Source organism: Homo sapiens, chromosome Y (genome assembly GCF_000001405.40).
Source record: "Homo sapiens chromosome Y, GRCh38.p14 Primary Assembly".
Lineage (NCBI taxonomy): Eukaryota > Metazoa > Chordata > Mammalia > Primates > Hominidae > Homo > Homo sapiens.
The window spans coordinates 18,786,530-18,805,801 of NC_000024.10; the positions used below are offsets into that span (position 1 = coordinate 18,786,530).

General features: G+C 39.1%; 1 protein-coding gene, 1 long non-coding RNA gene and 2 pseudogenes across 3 annotated transcripts in view; 1 reads left to right on the forward strand and 3 right to left on the reverse strand.

Annotated features, from left to right (window-relative positions):
• HSFY2 (heat shock transcription factor Y-linked 2) overlaps positions 1-4,235 on the reverse strand; it is a 59,325-nt gene extending 55,090 nt beyond the window's left edge. Inside the window, exon 1 of the mRNA XM_017030030.3 lies at positions 4,041-4,235. Coding sequence (XP_016885519.1) covers positions 4,041-4,066 — 26 coding nt within the window. The 5' untranslated portion in view covers positions 4,067-4,235. The remainder of the gene's footprint in view (positions 1-4,040) is intronic.
• ELOCP14 (elongin C pseudogene 14) lies at positions 1,136-1,797 on the forward strand (annotated as a pseudogene).
• On the reverse strand, positions 4,080-4,622 carry PRYP6 (PTPN13 like Y-linked pseudogene 6; annotated as a pseudogene).
• LOC124905305 (uncharacterized) overlaps positions 16,011-19,272 on the reverse strand; it is a 33,859-nt gene continuing 30,597 nt past the window's right edge. For both annotated transcript variants that reach the window (XR_007068459.1, XR_007068458.1), the window contains one exon: positions 16,011-18,318. This is a non-coding gene — a long non-coding RNA (uncharacterized LOC124905305). The remainder of the gene's footprint in view (positions 18,319-19,272) is intronic.

Below are 19,272 nucleotides of genomic sequence, written 5' to 3' on the forward strand. Positions count from 1 at the left end.
CACCCTTCAAAATAATTTTAAATATATAACCTTTGACTCTATCCTCTAACCCCTAATGCCCTTAAGAGTACACTAAACCTTACCTCTCATTAATTCCAATTGAAAATTGAATTAAACAGATGATATCACTAGGACAAAACACTAAATGTTAAGAAATATGACAATTAAAGTCATTATAATGTTTAACCAAAAACTAGTACCTGAAATTTGCTACATGGGGAAGACATTATGCACCTCAATGATTAAGATTTTTCTGTTTGTTTGTTTGTTTGTTTGTTTGTTTTGAAAATTGAGGGTTTTTCAACATTCTGAAGCCATCCCTTTTCAATATACCATGTAAACTAAATCATGGGAAAACAGTACATGTTTATCTCAACTGTTATGGAAAATACTTAAAGTTAGTCAACGTGTTTAATGATAACAACATCCAATAAACTGTGCTTCAAATTTCTTTCACATAACACGTCTTTGTGCAAAACCTGTAACAATCAGCATCTGAATTGTTGGGAATCAAAGTTTAAGATGAGGAACAAAGCATTGATGCTAAATTTCATCACTGTATTCTACACTGTACTAGAATTTCCATCCAAAACAATTGGAAATATATATATATATATGATATATGTAGTATATGTGCATATAAATATTTATATATACACATATATACATATACAAATATTTATATGCACATATATTATTATATATATTTTTACATATAGATATTTATATATAAATATATATGTGAATATATATTTTTCCAATTGTTTTGGATGGATATTCTAGCAAAATATGTATATATTTCCAATTGTTTTGGCCATTCATATGTGGAAAAATAAAAATAAAAAAAGTAAAACTATCTACCCTTGGGTCTTATGATCTCCTATAAAGAAATCATAAGAAACCAACAAGAAATCATGACATCTGGTAAACAAACTAAACAAACATACATTATAAAATATCAATATAATAAAATCTACTTCTGTACACTAGTAATAAACCATATGAAAATGAAATTAATACAACAATTTTATTTGTGAAAACAACAAGCAGCCTGTCTTCCAACTTCCCTGGAACCCATAGGAGCCACAAGCTGGGTGTGGGGGATAGCCCTGGAGTCGAGTCAGTGCTGCTACACTGGGAGCTGGGCTGCACTGGCCATAGGGCTAACCAGAAAGTAGTCAAGTTCCTGGGGAATCAAAGTAGAATTATGTAAGTACGTGGTGGATGAAGAGTAGAAAACCTACAGTGGTTTTGAAAGCCCTAAAGCCACGATGTCAAATGGATATCTTCAGAGTCAAAAATTTATGGTAAAAGGCGAACATGCACGAACATCAACAACAATGAAAGCCATGTTGAGTGGCCCAGGTCATTTTGCTGAGAAGGAAAGTATTGAGGTCAATTTGAGAGACATCCCTTCACAAGTGCTGCCAAAAGCATGCACATATTTTACCTAAATATTTCACTACACCTAAAGCTCCACAGAGATTTCCAAATTCCCATTTCACCTGAAACTGCATTAGAACTGTTGATGGCTGTAACTTTCTAGATTGTATATAAATACAATTAATTGATAGGATAAAATAAAATATAATAAACTTAATTTTTTTCAGTGTTTAACTAACTGTAGTTCAGTTAACATTTATTTTTTATAGATAGTACATTCCCTGTATCAAGGTAACTATAAAATTAATTGCAAAGAAGATTCTCTTCTGTTTTTTGCATAACATAATTGAATTTTTTTTGTACTGTGAACAAACTAAGGACATTTTCACAGAGAAATAAACAAATATGCCAGTTCATAAGTGGTTTTGCCTTATGCCTTGAGTATGATTTTAAAATGAGTAATGTTGACATTGAAAATGATGAAAATTGGCTGGGCATGGTGGCTCATGCCTGTAATCCCAGCACTTTGGGAGGCTGAGGCGGGGGGATCACGAGGTCAAGAGATGGAGTCCATCCTGGCCAACATGGTGAAACCCCGTCTCTACTAAAAATACAAAAAGTAGCCGGCCGTAGTCCCAGCTACTCAGGAGGCTGAGGCCGGAGAGTGGCGTGAACCCGGGAGGCGGAGCCTGCAGTGAGCCAAGATTACGCCACTGCACTCCAGCCTGGGTGACAGAGCAAGACTCCGTCTCAAAAAAAAAAAAAGGAAAGAAAATGATGAAAATTAGGCATAAATTAATAATTGCATTATATGCATCTTCATAACTTAGCCAAAATATTGATTTTTATCTAACCCTAACATAAATGTCTTATCAATGCCTATAATCTCAGCACTTTTGGAGGCCAATGCAGGCAAATCTTGTGATTCCAGGTGTTTGAGACATGCCCAGGCAACATGGCAAACCTTTGTCTCTGCTAAAAATACAAAAAGTTAGCCAGACATGGTGACTGAGGCTAAGACAGAGGATTAATTGAGCTAGGCAGTTAGAAGCTGCAGTGAGCCATGACGGCACTTCTGCACTCCAGGCTGGGCCACACAGTGAGACCCTGTCTCAAAAAGAAAAAAAAACAGTAGAAATTTCTTCTGTCATTTGATAAATCCCAGCATTGTTTAAAAGTGTCTTTTCATTTTGTTTATTTCTACAATTTAAGACACTTTTTCATAACAATTTTTGAAGGTTACTAGGTACAATTTTGGAAGAAGCAACAGAACTATACCCAGATGGTCAATGAGTCAACTATATGACTTATAAGCAAAGCATCCTTGGCAACTGTAGAAACAGAAAGAAAAAAATAATCTGGCAAGGTGTCGTGGCTTAGGTTTTTTAATGTTCTATTTTTTTTTTTTTTTTTTTGATGAAAGAAATCCCTTTTAGGTCTTAGACTAATTATAATTTATAACAATTTAGAAGGTTATACTTTTGTAAACAGAAGTGAAACACTTGTAAAAAAAAAAAATAACTCTTCTGCCCCTCCTCCCCCGCCCCCACCACAGGCATCAGAATAGAGCCCTCCTTTTGACCAGGGGCATTCCTAAATTGGTTCAGGTCCTGACAGGAAAGAGGGACCGACATGCTTCATTACACGCTCCTCCCTTTTGAACTTTAGAAAAAGTTGACCATCATTAACAGCGACCTATACCTTAAGTCTAATAAGAAATATTTACCTCTTATTCTCTCAAGCATGCTACATGGAGGATTCATCATCATGATAAAACTTGGTCTCTACAGCCTTTATTATTTATTGTAACCCAGTCATTCCCATCTACTGATTCCATGTTTTTAGATAATAACTTAACTCTTTCAGCCAACTGCCAAGTAAAATATATGTAAATCTACCTGTAACTTGAAAGCCCAGACCTGCACCATGGCTATTTTCAAGTTGTGCGTCCTTTCTGGACCAAACCAATGTACATCTTCATGCGTTTGATTGATGTCTCATGTCTCCCTAAAATGCATAAATGTAGGCTGTGAATACACAACCTGGAGCACATGTTCTCAGGATCTCCAGAGTAGGGCTGTGTCATGGACCATTTGTCACTCATATTTGGCTCAGAATTCAATTAATTTTATGGTATAATATCAAAGTTTGATATTGTTAGTATATCTCAGCTAATGTAGGATGTCAATCCTTATAAAACAGACATTTTCATTATCACTACCAATGCATTCTCAGTTAAACTATGACTGTCTCAGGAAAAGAAAAAATGTTGCTAACCAGGCATACATCATATATTTAAATTTAAATAATAATTCGAGTTCTAATATGCCTACTTAAAATTTTTCTATATTGTTTCAACTATATACTTTAGTTCTCTAAGAAAAATGAGTCATTAAAGCACGAAAAAAAGTATTGATAGAGCCTGTCACGGTGGCTCCACTCAGCACCTCTCCTTTCTCTGTAACAGACTCTACCCCCAGAAACAAGTCCAGATCATCTGCAAACCACACTTTGGTAGCCGTTAAAATGCGTGGTCACTGCCTCACTCAAGGGACACTTTTGTAAAGTCAGAAGTGGAGGCCAGGACTGGGAAGTAAGGCCCAGGACAGTGCCCCTCATCAGTATTGGGTGCTGCAGACAGGGTGTCTTTTCCTCACCTGGCCACCAGATGTCTCAATGCCATGTCTTCTCCTGGGAGAGTCCTGAGGAGAAGTCTTTATTCTCACCCTGGACGTAGCAACAGAGGTCTTGTAGCAACGGCCACTCCTGGGCAGGTCCAGAAGAGAAGGAGGCTTCGTCCTCATGGTGGATGCGACTCCAGATGTCCCCAAGCTGAGGCCACTGTTGGGTGGGTCCTGAAATGAAGTAGCATTAGTCTGCACCATGAACGTGGCCATAGGTTCCCCAGGTACCCTAAAACAACGGCCTCTTCTGGGTGTGTCCTGAGGAGAAGGAATCTCTGTCCAAGTCACTGTGAGAACACCCTGCCCCTCAGAGAGTTGGTTTGCAAGCTCAGTGCATCTGCCCCATGCCCCCTCCCCCGGTAGTAGCCCTGGGAAATCTTTGAAATTCAGGGTGGGTTAATCCAGGCGGTCATCTCAGGAAGTGGAAGTGAAATAGAGCCAACCTTCCCATACCTTGAATGGATATAAAAAGAAGCAAAGAAGATCGTCAATAGACAAAACTCAGTTGATTTTCTCTATATCAGCAATAATGAATAGAAATCATTGGAATTTGAAATACTTAACCACCATTTACAATACTTCCTACAAAATTGAATCCATTAAGTATAAATGTAACAAAATAGGCAAAGTTCATTCAGAAAACAATCAGTCACAACTGAGAGAAATCAAAAGAAATATTAGTAAATGCATACAGGCCAGGCACAGTGGAACATGCCTATAATCTCACCAGTTTGGGAGGTTACAGTGGGCAGATCACTTGAGTCCACGAGTTAGAGACCAGCCTGAGGAACATGGTGAAACCCCATCTCTACCAAAAATACAAAAATTAAGCTGAGCTTGGTGGTGCATGCCTGTGATCTCAGCTACTTGTGGTGCTGAAGTGGGAGAATCTCAGTGAGCGGAGATCGTGCCACTACACTCCAATCTTGGTGACACGGCAAGACTCTTTCTCAATAAATAAATAAAGGAAGAGATGTGTCTTGTTCTGGAGAAGTACACATGTATTAATATTTCAGTCATATCCCAATCAAATTCCAGGCAAATATATCAACAATCTCTTCCTAAACCTAGAATAGATGAAATAAGACTGAAGAAGAAAAAAGCTAAAGGACTTACACATATGGATATGAATACTTACACTAAAGCTAGCTTAGCAAACAAGAGTGTGGCATTGATGATTTAACAGACAAGTAGTTAAGTGGACAGAATAGACAGCCCCCACACAGGCCCAAGTCAACTGATTTTGTCAAAAATGTAAAAAAAATTTGTCAAAATTGTGACAAACATGTCAAAAAAATGTAAAAAATTTGGAAACGGTAAGTCTATTCCACAAGGGGCAAGAAAACAGCTGGAAACTATATGGAAACAAATGGACATATATACAAATTTCATAGCTAAAAAAAATAGTCAAAAATAGCCATACATTAAAATTTTTCAATGCAAAGTTGTAATTGGAAAATGTCCTCATGGGTTTGGGTTTGGTAATGAGTTATTAGCAAGTCCATGAAAAAAAAAAAAGGATAATAGTGGCTTTATTGAAAGCTGAAATGTCTACTCTGTGAAATACCCTTCTACAGTTGGGCATGGCAGTTCAAGCCTGTAATCTCAGCACTTTTGGAAGTCGAAGCGGCTGGGTCACCTGAGGTCAGGAGATCCAGATCAGCATGGTAAACATGGTGAAAACCCATCTCTACTAAAAATACAAAAAATTAACTGGAATTTCTGGCATGCACTTATAATCCCAGCTGCTCAGGAGTCTGAGCCAGGAGAATCCCTTGAACTTGGGAGATAGGTGTTGCAGTGAGCCTAGATTGGGTCATTGCACTCCAGCCTTGGCGACAGAATGAAACTCTGCCTCAAAAAAAAAAAAAAAAAAAAAAATCTGGTTAAGAGAACCAAAAAACCAGCCACAGATAGAAAAATGTAGCAAACTCACCTGAAAAGTGACTTGTATGCACAAAGTTCACAGAAACTCTAAAACTGACAAAGATAAGCAACCCAAGTCCAGGGTAAAAACCTGAGCAGATACATCACATAGAGATGGAAAACAGGCAGGCACCCCAAACACTGCTGGCTGAAAGCCTGCTGCTTCTGCTGAAGGCTGAGACTCCAACCTGTCCCATGAGTAGCCGCAGTGGCTCCAAAGACCACCCTCACCTACCCGACCTCCGCCCTTCCTTCAGGGCCCAGGGGCCCCCAAGGTACTGGACATGCTGTCCCAGAAAGAGCCAGAGGCTGGATACTTTATATCTCAGCTTTTCTTAAAGTTCTGGAGGCTGCCAAGTGTCCTTAGTTTGGAAGTTTTATTTTTATCCTAAGCACCTTGAGGCACTGACAAGCATTAGGAGAGCTGGTTTTTAACCCACACTTGTTTTCATTAAGAGATAAAAGAATTGATTGACTCGAATTGCTTTTTAGTAAGTTCTTTTAAAATGTTTGGTACAATGCATTGTTATTTTGCTTTCTTGGAGACACAAAACACAGAAAAAGTATTTAGTAAAAACCAAATAGGGAGTCATCATAAATTCATGGATACTATTTGATTTGTTATTTATCCCGACTTTTTTTATTAATTATAATTTAAGTTCTAGGATACATGTGCAGAACATGCAGATTTGTTACATAGTTGTACATGTGCCATGGTGGTTTGCTGCACCCATCAACCCATCATCTAAGTTTTAAGTCCTGAATGCATTAGGTATCTGTCCTAATGATCTCCTTCCACTTGCCCCCTACTCCCCGACAGGCCCCATTGTGTGATATTTCCCTCCCTGTGTTCCCATTGTTCAGTTCCCACTTATGAATGAGAACAGGTAGTGTTTGCTTTTCTGTTCCCGTGTTAGCTTGCTGAGAATAATGGTTTCCAGCATCATTCATGTCCCTGAAAAAGGACATGAACTTACTCTTTTTAGTGGCTGCATAGTATTCCATGGTGTATATGTGCCACATTTTCTTTATCCAGTCTATCATTGATGGGCTTTTGGGTTTGTTCCATGTCTTTCTTGTCTGTGAGTAGTGCTGTAATAAACATACATGTGCATGTTTCCTTATAGCAGAATGATTTATAATCCTCTGGGTGTATACCACATAATGTGATTCCTGGGTCAAATGGTATTTCTGGTTATAGATCCTGGAGGAATCACCACACTGTCTTCCAAAATGATTGAACTAATTTACATTCCCACCAGCAGTATACAGCATTCTTATTTCTTTACAACTTCAGTAGCATCTGTTGTTTCCTGACTTTTTAATGGTCGCCATCCTGACTGGTGTGAGATGATAGCTCATTGTGGTTTTGATTTGCATTTCTCTAACGACAAGTGACGCCGAGCTTTTTTTATGTATGTTTGTTGGCTGATTAAATGTCTTCTTTTGAGAAGTGTCTGTTCATTTGCTTTGCCCACTTTTTGATGGGGTTTGTCTGTTTTTTATTTTCTTGTAAATCTTTTTAAGTTTCTTGTAGATTTTGGATATTAGATCTTTGTCAGACGGATAGGTTGAAAAAATGTTCTCACATCCTGTATGTCCCCTGTTCACTCTGACAATATTTTCTTTTGCTGTGGAGAAGCTCTTTGATTGAAGTAGGTCCCGTTTGTCAATTTTGGATTTCGTTGCCATTGTTTTTGGTGTTTTTGTCATGAGGCCTTTGTCCATGCCTATATCCTGAATGGTATTGTCTAGGTTTTCTTCTAGGGTTTTATGGTTTTAGATTTAACGTTTAAGATTTGAATTCATCTTGAGTTAATTTTTGTATGAGCTATAAGAAAGGGATCCAGTTTCAGCTTTCTGCATATGGCTATCCAGTTTTCCCAGTACCAGGGAATCCTTCCCCCGTTGCTTGCTTTTGTTAGGCCTGTCGAAGATCAGATCATTGTAGATGTGTGAATTACTTTAAGCACTATGGTCGTTTTCACGATATTGATTCTTCTTGTCCATGAACATAATTTTTTTTCCATATTTTTGTGTCCTCTCTTATTTCCTTGAGCAGTGGTTTGTAGCTCTCCATAAAGAAGTCCTTCACATGCTTTGTAAGCTGCATTCCTAGTAATTTTATTTTCTTTGGAGCAATTGTGAATTTGAGTTCGCTCATGATTTGGCTCTCGTATGTCTACTATTGGTTTATAGAAATGCTTGTGATTTTTGCACATTGATTTTGTAGCCTGACCTTGCTGGTGTTCTTTACAAGCTTAAGAAACATATACAATAGACAAGTTCCTTGTCTATTGTTAAGGAGTACAGAGCTGAGAAAATGGGGTACTCTAAAGATACAGCTATGTCATCTGCAAACAGGGACAATTTGATTTCCTTTATTTTTATTTGAATACCCTTTATTTCTTTCTCTTGCCTGATTGTCCTGGCCAGAACCTTCAATATTATGTTGAATAGGAGTGGTGAGAGAGGCCATGCTTGTCTTGTGCCTTTTGTTTTAGGTTGTCAAAGGGAATGTTTCCAGGTTTTGCCCATTCAGTATGACATTGCCTATGGGTTTGTCACAAACAGCTCCCATTACTTTCTGATACATTCCATCAATACCCAGTTTATTGAGTGTTTTTAGCAAAAAGTGATGTTGAATTTTACCAAAGGCCTTTTCTGCATCTATAGAGATAATTATGTGGTTTTTGTCATTGGTTCTCTTTATATGCTGGATTATGTTTATTGATTTGCATATGTTGAAACTAGACTAGCAATCTAAGGACGGAGCTGACTTGATCGTATGGATAAGCTTTTTGATGTGTTGCTGGATTCAGTTTGCCATTATTTTATTGTGGATATTCACTTCAATTTTCATCAGGGATATTGGCCTGAAATTTTCTCTTTTTGTTGCGTCTCTGACAGGCTTTGGTAGTAAGATGATGCTGGCCTCATAAAATGAGTTCAGGAGGAGTCCCTCTTTCTCTATTGTTTGGAATAGTTTCAGAAGGAAATAGCACCAGCTTTTCTTTGCACATCTGGTAGAAGTCAGCTGTGAATCTCTCTGGTCTGGCAATTTTTTGTTTGGTAGGCTATTAATTACTGCCTCAATTTTAGAATTTGTTGGTCTCTTCAGGGATTCTACTTTTTTTCTGATTTAGTCTTGGAATGGTGTATGTGTCCAGGAATTAATTTATTTCTTCCAGATTTTTTAGTTTATTTGCATAGAGGTGTTTACAGTATTCTTTTATGGTAGTTTGTGTGTCTAGGGATCAGTGGTTACATCTCCATTGTCCTTTTTTTTACTGTGTCTAATTGGTTCTTCTCTCTTTTTTCTTTATTAGTCTGGCTAGCAGTCTATCTATTTTGTTAATCCTCACAGCAACAACAAAAATGTTCTTGGATTCATGGATTTTTGGAAGGATTTTCCTGTTTCTATCACCTTCAGTTACGCTCTGCACTCAGTTATTTCTTTTTTGTGTCAGGTTTTGAATTTGTTTGTTCTTGCTTCTCTAGTTCTTTTCCTTTCTTTCTTTCTTTCTTTCATTTTTTTAAGGTGTCTCATACTGTCACCCACACTGGAGTGGAGTGGTGCGACCTCAGATTACTGCGACTTTTATCTTTTGGGTTCAAGAGATTACCCAACTTCACCCTCCTGAGTATCTGGGATTAAAGTTGTGCACCATTTTGCCCGGCTACATTTTTGTAGAGACAGAGATTCACCATGTTGGTTGTCCAGGCTGGTCTTGGAGTCATGAACTCAGGCTAACTGCCTGGCTCAACTTCCCGAAGTGCTGAAATAACAGGCAGGAGCCACCATGCCCGTCTCTCTAGTTCTTTTCATTCTGACTGTAGAGTGTTGATTTAAATCTGTCCCACTTTCTGATGTGGGCATTTAGTGCTATTAATTTTCCTCTTAACACTGCTTTAGCTGTGTGCCAGAGATTCTGGTAGGTTGTGTCTTTGTTCTCACTGGTTTCAAGCAACTTCTTTCTTTCTTAACGTTGTTATCTACCCAGTTGTCATTCAGGAGCAGGTTTTACAGTTTCCATGTAGTTGTGCAGTTCTGAATGAGTTTCTTAATCCTGAGTTCTAATTTTAGTCCACCCTGGTCTGAGAGACGGTTTGTTTTGATTTCTGTTCTTTTGCTTTTGTTGAGGAGTGTTTTACTTCCAATTATGTACTCAATTTTAGAATAAGTGCTATATGGTGCTGAGAATAATGTACATTATGTTGATTTGGGGTGGAGACTTCTGTAGATATCTATTAGCTCTGCTTGGTCAAGAGCTGAGTTCAAGTCTTGAGTATTCTTGTTGATATTCTGTCTCATTTATCTGTGTAATATTGATAGTGGGGTGTTAAAGTCTCCCACTATTATTGTATGGGAGTCTAGGCTGTGTAAGTCTCTAAGAACTTGCTTTATAAATCTGGGTGCTACTGTATTAGGTTCATATATATTTAGGATCATTAGCTCTTCTTGTTTCATTGATCCCTTTACCATTATGCAACTACTCTGTCTTTTTTGATCTATGTCGGTTTACAGTTTGTCTTAGGAGAGACTAGGATTACAATCCTTTTTTTTTTTTTAACTTTCCATTTGCTTGGAAACTATTCCTCCATCCCTTTCTTTTGAGCCTACATGTGTCTTCACTCATGAGATGGGTCTCCTGAATGTAGAATAACACAGGGTCTTTACTCTTCATCCAATTTGCCAGTCTGTGTACATTAATTGGCAAACTTAGGTCATTTACATCGAAGGTTAATATTGTTATGTGTCAATTTGGTCCTGGCATAGCAATAATAGCTGGTCATTTTGCATACTAGTTGATCCACTTTTTTCATAGTGTTGTTGGTCTTTATATTTTGACATTTTTTTCAGTGGTGAGTACAGGTTTTTTCTTTCCATATTTACTGTTTTCTGCAGGAGCTCGTCTAAGGCAGGCATGGTGATGACAAAAACCATCTACCTTTGATTGTCTGTAACAATTCTATTTTTGTTTTATTTATGAAGCTTTGTTTGCCTGAATATAAAATTCTAGGTTGAATTTTTTTTTTTCTTTAAGGATGCTGAATATTGGCCCCTACTCTCTTCTGGCTTGTGGGGTTTCTGCAGAGAGAGCCGATGTTATTCTGATGTGCTTCCCTTTGTAGGTAACCTGACCTTTCTCTCTGGCTGTCCTTAACATTTTTTATTTTTGTTCAACCTTGGAGAATCTGACAGTTATAGGTCTTCATGTTGCTCTTCTCAAGGAGTATCTTAGTGGTGTTATCTGTATTACCTGAATTTCAATGTTGGCCTGTCTTGTTAGGTTGTGGAAGTTCTACTGGATAATGCCTTGAAGTGTGTTTTCAAACTTGGTTCCATTTTCCCCATCACTTATAGGTACACCAATCAATTGTAGGTTTGGCCTTTTGACATGGTCCCATATTTCTTGGAGGCTAGTTTGTTCCTTTTTATTCGTTTTTCTCTAGTCTTGTCTTCATCCTTTATTTCATTAAGTTGATCTTCATTCTCTAATATCCTTTCTTCATCTTCATCAATTCAGCTATTGATACCTGTTTTTGCTTCACAATGTTTCTTGCGCTGTGTTTTTCATCTCCATGAGGTCATATATGTTCTCCTCTAAACTGGTTATTTTTGTTAGCAGTTCCTGTAATGACTTATCAAGGTTCTTATCTTCCTTGAATTGGGTTAGAACATGCTCCTTTAGCTCAGAGAATTTTGTTATTACCGACTTTCTCAAGTTTACTTCTGTCAATTCATCAACCTTATTCCCCATCCACTTTTGTGCCCTTGCTGCAGAGTGCTTGGAATCATTTGGAGGAGAAGAGGCATTCTAGTATTTTTGAATTTTTAGCACTTTTATGCTGGATATTCCTCATTTTTTGTGGATTTATCTACCTGGGATCTTTGATGCCGATAGTCTTTGGATTGGGTTTTGTGTGTGTGTCCTTTTTGTTGATGTTGATGTGACTGATTTCTGTTTGTTAGTTTTTCTTCTAACAGTCAGGCATCTCTTCTGCAGATCTGCTAGAGTTTGCTGGCAGTCTACTTTAGATGCTGTCTGCCTGGGTGTCACCATCTGAAGTTGCAGAACAACAGTAATTGGAAGATTTGATCCTGAGTTGTACCTAACTGGTGCCAGCCAGAGCTCTCCTGTAGAAGTATCTGTTGAGCCCTGCTGGGAGGTGTCTTCTAGTCAGGAGACACATGAGTCAGGGACACATTTGAAAAGGCAGTCTGTCCCTGAGCAGAGCTCGAGCACACTTCTGGGAGATACACTGCTCTCTTCAGAGCAGGCAGGCAAGAATGTTTAAGTCTGCTGAAGCTGCACTCCCAGCCATCCCTTTTCTCACAGTTTCTTTCCCAGAGAGATGGGACTTTTACATATAAGTCCCTGACTGGGGCTGCTGCCTTTCTTTCAGAGATTCCCTACTTAGTGAGGAGGAATCTAGAGAGCCAACCTGGCCACATCTGCTTTGCTTGCTTGTGTGAGTCCCATGCAGTCCAAACTTCTTGGCAGCTTTCTTAACACTGTGAGGGGAAATCCTTATACTCAAGTCTCAGTAATGGTGATCAACCATCTCCCCACCAAGCTTAATCATTCCAAGTTGACTTCAGACTTCTAGGTGGATAGTGAGAATTTGAAGCCAGTGCATCTCTGCTTGCTGTGCTGCATGGGAGTGAGACCTGATGAGTGAGACCACTTGGCTCCCTGGCTTTAGCCCCCTTTGCAGAGGTGTGAATGGTTCTTTGTCACTGGGGTTCCAGGTGCCACTGGGGTACATAATATTTTTTTGCAGCTATCTCAGCCTCTGCCCAAGCAGGCACCCAGTTTTGTGCTTGAAACCCAAGGCTGTGGTTGCATAGGCATACTAGGGAATCTCCTGGTCTGTGAGTTGCAAAACCTGTGAGAAATGTGCAGGATGTGGACTTCATAGCACAGCCCCTGATGGCTTTCCTTGGCTAGGGAGGAAGTCCCCAGCCCCTCACACTTCCTTGGTGAGGCAACACTCACCTGTATCTGCTGCCTTTTGTGGGCTGCACTCAATGTCTAACCAGTCCCAACGAGATGAACTGGGTACCTTAGGTGGAAATGCAGAAATTACCGGTCTTTTGTTGGTCTCTGTGGGAGCTGCCAACAAAAGCTTTTCTTTTTCAACCATCTTGCCAGATGCCCACTGGCTTTTATTCTTATTTAAAGTGTACACTCTTGAAATTACCAGAAGTTTCACTTGTGATGTTTAAAAGCAAAAAGAAAAAGAACAGGGAGAAATATTTTAATAAATTAGTCTCTGTCTTCAAATGTCAATCAAAATCAGTGCCACATTGTGAAAGGTGAAGGAAAAACTAACAGACCAAAATCATGTGATTTCACACTTTGGCTCACTTTGAAAAAGCAGATTTAAGAAGGAAAACCTCCAGAGTTCTATTCTGTATCAAATATTAAGTGTTGCAAAATATGTACTGAAATTGAAATCAATGGTTTTTTTCAGTTCCCAAAGAAACTAGTTTGTACTGTAGCAATTCCTGTTGCTGCTTTCACATCTGTGGGGGTTCAGTCAGGATGGTGGGGAAAATTATCAGATGCAAACCTTACTGGAATGACTGCGGGGTTGGCATCAGCTCCAGTAATAAACTTGGATGAAGGCAGCCTTTTCCCTTTATTTAAATATGTTAGAGTAGAAACAAAGGAATATGGGGTGTTTGTGTAACTAGCTTGCTTACTTGTGAGGTCTGAAGACTATCCTTTGACTTTCCACAGGTGCTTAATTTCTTTCTAATCAGAAGTCCACACTGTCAATTACCCCTTAGTGGTTTTGACTCAAGCCTTTGTCAATTAGTCGTTACTGAATAAATGCAAGTCTTAGTAGTTGGTCAGGGCCACAGTCAAAAATGTTTACACCACTCTGCCTGCAGTCTGTAAGCAGCCCAAATGCTCAGCTGGACTGGCAAAGCAGAGTATCTGCGTTTCAGAGTACTTTATTCACCCACCATTGAGTCAGGGTCTGTGGGACAGACCCCTGCAGACACCTGTAAAGGAATCACTTTGTTGAATGAGATCTCTACATAGTGAAGTATCACACTAATTCAGCACATTGTCTTATTAGCTACAACTTACTATCTCATTGTAGAAATCATCAATTAAAAAACAGGATCAATGCCACAATAGGTACTAGCATATTTTTTTTAATGTTTACTAAGTAGAGCTCAGACTACGATCAGTTTTCTGTGGCAAAACATATGCATGCTTCTTTTGGCAGCAATTATGGAATAATGAGAAAACAATAATAACAAAAAGCACCAGTCTGAAGATGTCATGTACTGTATGATCGCATTTCTATGACATTATGAAAAGTCTACAGCGAAGGTAAACCGACCTCTGATGTACAGTGGTTTGTAGAGGGCAGGGAGTGAGTTGAATAGGGGAATAGGATGTTGGAAAGAAGTACAAATGGGCCAGTTAGAATTAAGCTCCCTCTGGTTGGTGAGATCATGCTATGTGTTTGGAAGAGCCAGTAGTGTGTAGTACCAGCGTGAATAAAAAGGCTCCTACTCTGCCTGGCGTGGTGGCTTATGTCTGTAATCCCAGCACTTTGGGAGACTGAGGTGGGTGGATCACGAGGTTAGGAGATAGAGACCATCCTGGTTAACACGATGGAGCCCTGCCTCTACTAAAAAATACAAAAAGATTAGCCAGGCATGGTCGTGGGCACCTGTAGTCCCAGTTACTCAGGAGGCTGAGGCAGGAGAATGGCATGAACCCATGAGGTGGAATTTGCAGTGAGTGGAGACTGCGCCACTGCACTCCAGGCTGGGTGACAGAGCAAGACTCTGTCTCAAGAAAAATAAAAGGCTCCTACTCACTCTAGAAGAGAAGGATCTTCTTTCACTACACATTAAACTATTTCAGGACCAATTCTCAGGAAGCCTTTGTTGTATGGGGTAAAAGAATCATAAAATAAAATTCACCAATCTAAACATTTGTAGGTGTATAGGTAAGTGGCATTAAGTATGTTTATGTTATCGTGCAACCACCACCACCATTGCACATTCTCACCAGCAATGCACAGGGGTTCCATTTGCTCCACATATTCTCCAACTCTCCTTTTTTCCAAAATAAATAAATAAATAAATAAAAAATAAAGGCATTCTAGTGGGTATAAAGTGGTAAGCTCATTGTGGTTTAGATATTTGTTTACCTAACGGCTAATGATGTGGAACATATTTTTATGTGCTTAGTGGCATTGAATTTGACAATGGTTTCCTGGGTAGGACAGAGAATGCACAGAAAACAAAAGAAAAAAATAGATAAAATGAACTTCCTTAAAACTAAAATCTTTCATGCTTCAAAGGACACTATCAGGATAGTCAATAGAAAACCAACAGTGTAGGACAAAATATTTGCAAGCCATATATAAGAATAAATGTCTACTATCCAGGATATAGAAAGAATTCTTACAACTCAAGAACAAAAAGACAAACAATCCAATTAAAAAAATAAATTAATTAATTGAAAATACTTTTCTCCAAAGATACACAAAAAAACACATAAAAATTAGCTCAACATCACTCACCTCAGAGAAATGCAAATCAAAGCCACAATAAGACACCACTTCACACTCATTATAATTATTATTATTTAAAACCATAAACTAAAATGTGTTGACATGGAAATGGAGAATCACAAAGGTAAAATAATTCCTCTTCTGTGGAAAATAGCTTGATATTTCTGCAAAAAGCTAAACATAGAATTATCATAGAAACCAGCAAATCCACTCCCAGGTATATTCACAAAACAATGTAAAGTAGGTATTAAAAAAAAGTGTACACATATATTGATAGCAGAATTATTCACAATAACTAAAACATGGAAAAAACACAAATGTCCATCAATAAATAACAGGAAAACAAAATGTAGCATATCCTTACAATGGCATAATATTTAGCCATAAAAAGGATTGAGACATTCATACTACAATGTGAAGATACTGCAAAACCATTGTGTTTAAAGAAGCTAAGCACAAAAGTCACGTATTGTATGATTTTATTTATAAACATATCCAAAATAAATAATTTCACAGAGAAAGAAAACAGATTGTTAATTGTCAGGAGTCAGAAAGAGGACAGATTGGGTAGTAGCTCCTTAATAGGTAGGGGATTTCCTTTTGAGATGATGAAAATAATTTGGAATTAAGAAGTGGTAGAACATGCACATTCCTGTGTCACTGAATTATACCTTAAAAAACAGTTAACATATTATGGGAATTATACCTCAATAAAAAATTCCTATCTCCAGTATTCCATCAGCGGGCTGAAGTCTCTTTCCATGGTGTCCCCTGAGCTTGGGGTTCAAGTCCCTTTACAGTGCAGGACTGCTTGTGGCCTGGGCAGAAACATTCTGGACACATGCTTCAGCAACTATGTCCACCAGCTCCTAGATCTGTTACTGGTGGAAAGTATCGGAGTTACTGGCAGCAAATCCATCTGCGTCTTTAGCAATGTCAGTTCTTGCCTCCTCAGGTGAAAGAGTTCAACTGATGGGCATAAAGAAGGAAAAAAAATCCTGAGGCAAGTTTCACAGCAGGAGTGGACATTTATTAAAAAGCTTTAGAGCAGGAAAGAATGAAAAGTGCACTTGGAAGAGATCCAAGTGGGTGACTTGAAGAACAAGTGTGGCCATTTCTCTTCATTCTGGGACTTTATAGGCTGGCCCACCTTGAGCATCTGGTGCACCTTTTTCCATGATTCTTTCCTAAGTGTGGGCTGCCAGCAGGCACAGTGCCCTCCTTACCCTTGAGAAGTGAGCATAGGCAGTGTGTTTGAGCATTTATATGCATGCCCATCTGAAGCTTCCTCCCTTTTTTTGGTGGAGTGACCCCAGAAAGTCATGCTGTACCATTTCGTCTCTTAATGTGCATGTCTCAGTTCACTCACCCAGTATGTAAAATTTTACTAGAAGCCCTTTTTCCCCCTCCCGGGAGTGTGACTTTAGTTAACACTTTAATGTTACCAGCTGTGTATCAGTAGGAACTTGTCTATCCCTGGCTCTGCTGCTAAATTATTATTTTTAGAAAAGCAATGTGATAACTGTCCAACCATTACCCGATGGCCTGACATTCCTGGTAGGTGGATGGGAGAACTCTCTTCTGCCCCACTCATGCCTGTGTAACTTCCTGTAACAGACCCATTGGCCATTTCCAGCTGCAGGTCACTTTTTCTCTGCTGCCTTTCCAGACTCCCAGTGATCAGTGATGCCTCCTCAGGGTTTACAACGTCTTCTGTATCTTGCTCAACTGTAATCCAGACCTCAAGACATAATACCCATGGGTTGTTCCATTTCAATAAAGGGAAATTAACATTTCCTGAGCACCACCATGTGCAGGTGTCTTGCTCAGGTGAACTCACAGCAATGCTGCAAGGTATGGGTAGTCCCACATGTAGAGGAAAATCCCAGGATCATGTGATTGAGTGACTGACTTTCAATCACACAGCTTCCTAGTAACTTCAAGGTTATTGATTTCATTTTTAAAATAATCTGTATGTCTTTACTGGTATTTTCAGTTTTGAATCACTGTACTCCTGGGTTCCCTTAGGTCTTTGAGAATAGTAAAATGAAGTGAATTGAAATATTGGATAGTATTCAGCATATTTGGATAACAAATTCTTAACATCCACAATTCCTTAGTTTGTGGGTTGTTTACTTGTGTAGCAACCCTCCAGAGCTATTTTTGTGGTCTGCATTCTTTGTGTTGTATATCCACTTAATCTGTGTTCTGTCACCTTTTTGATGGTCTACTATTCTCGACATATTTTTTAAAAACAATCCAAGAAAAAAAAAAAGGAAAAGAAAGAAAAGAAAAACTGCCCAGACTTTGGATATGGACTCTTTGAGGAACTCTAGTGTTTAGCCCAAACTCAGGGAAAAGTGAAAAGCTTTGGGGTCTTCTCCATGCATGCATCCAAAAACCGGCATACTTATATCCTTCTAAATATACCAGTAGGAGTCTTTGTGTGGTGGTTCACATATGTAATCCCACCAATTTGGAAGGCTTAGGAGAACAAATCACTTCAGCCAGAAGTACGAGACCAGTCTTCACAACATGGTAAGATCTCTTCTGCTTAAAAAAATACAAAAATAAGCTGGTTCTGGTGGCCCATGCCTATGCTGTGAGATGCTGACAGGGGAGGATAGGTGGAGTCCAGATAGGCGAGATGCTCAGGTGGCTAAGGTGGGAAGTTCATTTGAACCCAAAGAAGTTGAGGCTGCAGTGGATCACGATCATGCCAGCGGACTCCAACGTGGGCCACAGGGCAAGTTCTGTCTCTATTTAAAACCTAATCCAAAACAAACAACAATAAACCGTGAGAGTTTTTCAAAGCTGATTTTCCGCCTCAATTTTCTTCCCAGACTCTTCTTGCAGGCCTTTTGTTTGTGTACCGCTTGACCTGACTCTTTTTCCTTGCTGCAAGTGGCTCTGACTAGTATATTTCCTTTCCATAAATGCCTCCTGGGAGTCAACTTCTGCCCACAAGAAAGCTCTGAGGTGGGCTAAAGAAAAGCCTCTGAGCTAATAATCTCCAAGGGAACCTCAGACATTTTAAATCACACAACCATAATTCTTTGAGATAAGCTCTCTATTTTCCCCATATGCATCAAAAGCTGCATCTATAATTTAATCTTCTTCACAGTGGCCATGAAGCCATGGAGTGGGTGATGATGGGAAGTTAAAATGACACATACTGTCTCGCCCAGACTTAGAGGTCAGGTCTTTCTTCATTAAACACACTCCTGAGTTATGTTATTAGATTCCAGAGCTCCAAAAGTCAAGTCTGAGGTCTTTTTCTCTTCCTTATATCTCTGCACTTTTAACCCAATGAACTCTAATGACAGCATAAAATAGAAACTTGATTAAATTTGCCTTGCTTTTTAATGTTCAGAGAGGTTTTCTGAGATGGAGTCTCCTTCTGTCCTACAGGCTAGAGTGCAGTGGTCCAAACTCAGCTCCCAGCAGCCTCTGCCTTCCAGGTTCAAGGGATTCTCTTATCTCAGCTTCCTGAGTAGCTGGAATTACAGGCATGCACCCCCACGCCTGGCTAATGTTCTTATTTTTAGTAGAAAGGGGGTTTCACCATTTTGGCCAGGCTAGTCTCAAACTCTTGACCTGAAGTCATCCACCTGCCTCAGCCTCCCAAAGTGCTGGGATTACAGGCATGAGCCATCATGTCCAGACTGTTTTGTTAGATTTTATTTCAGGCTGCTTCCATCATTATCACGAGAGCCATTCTGTC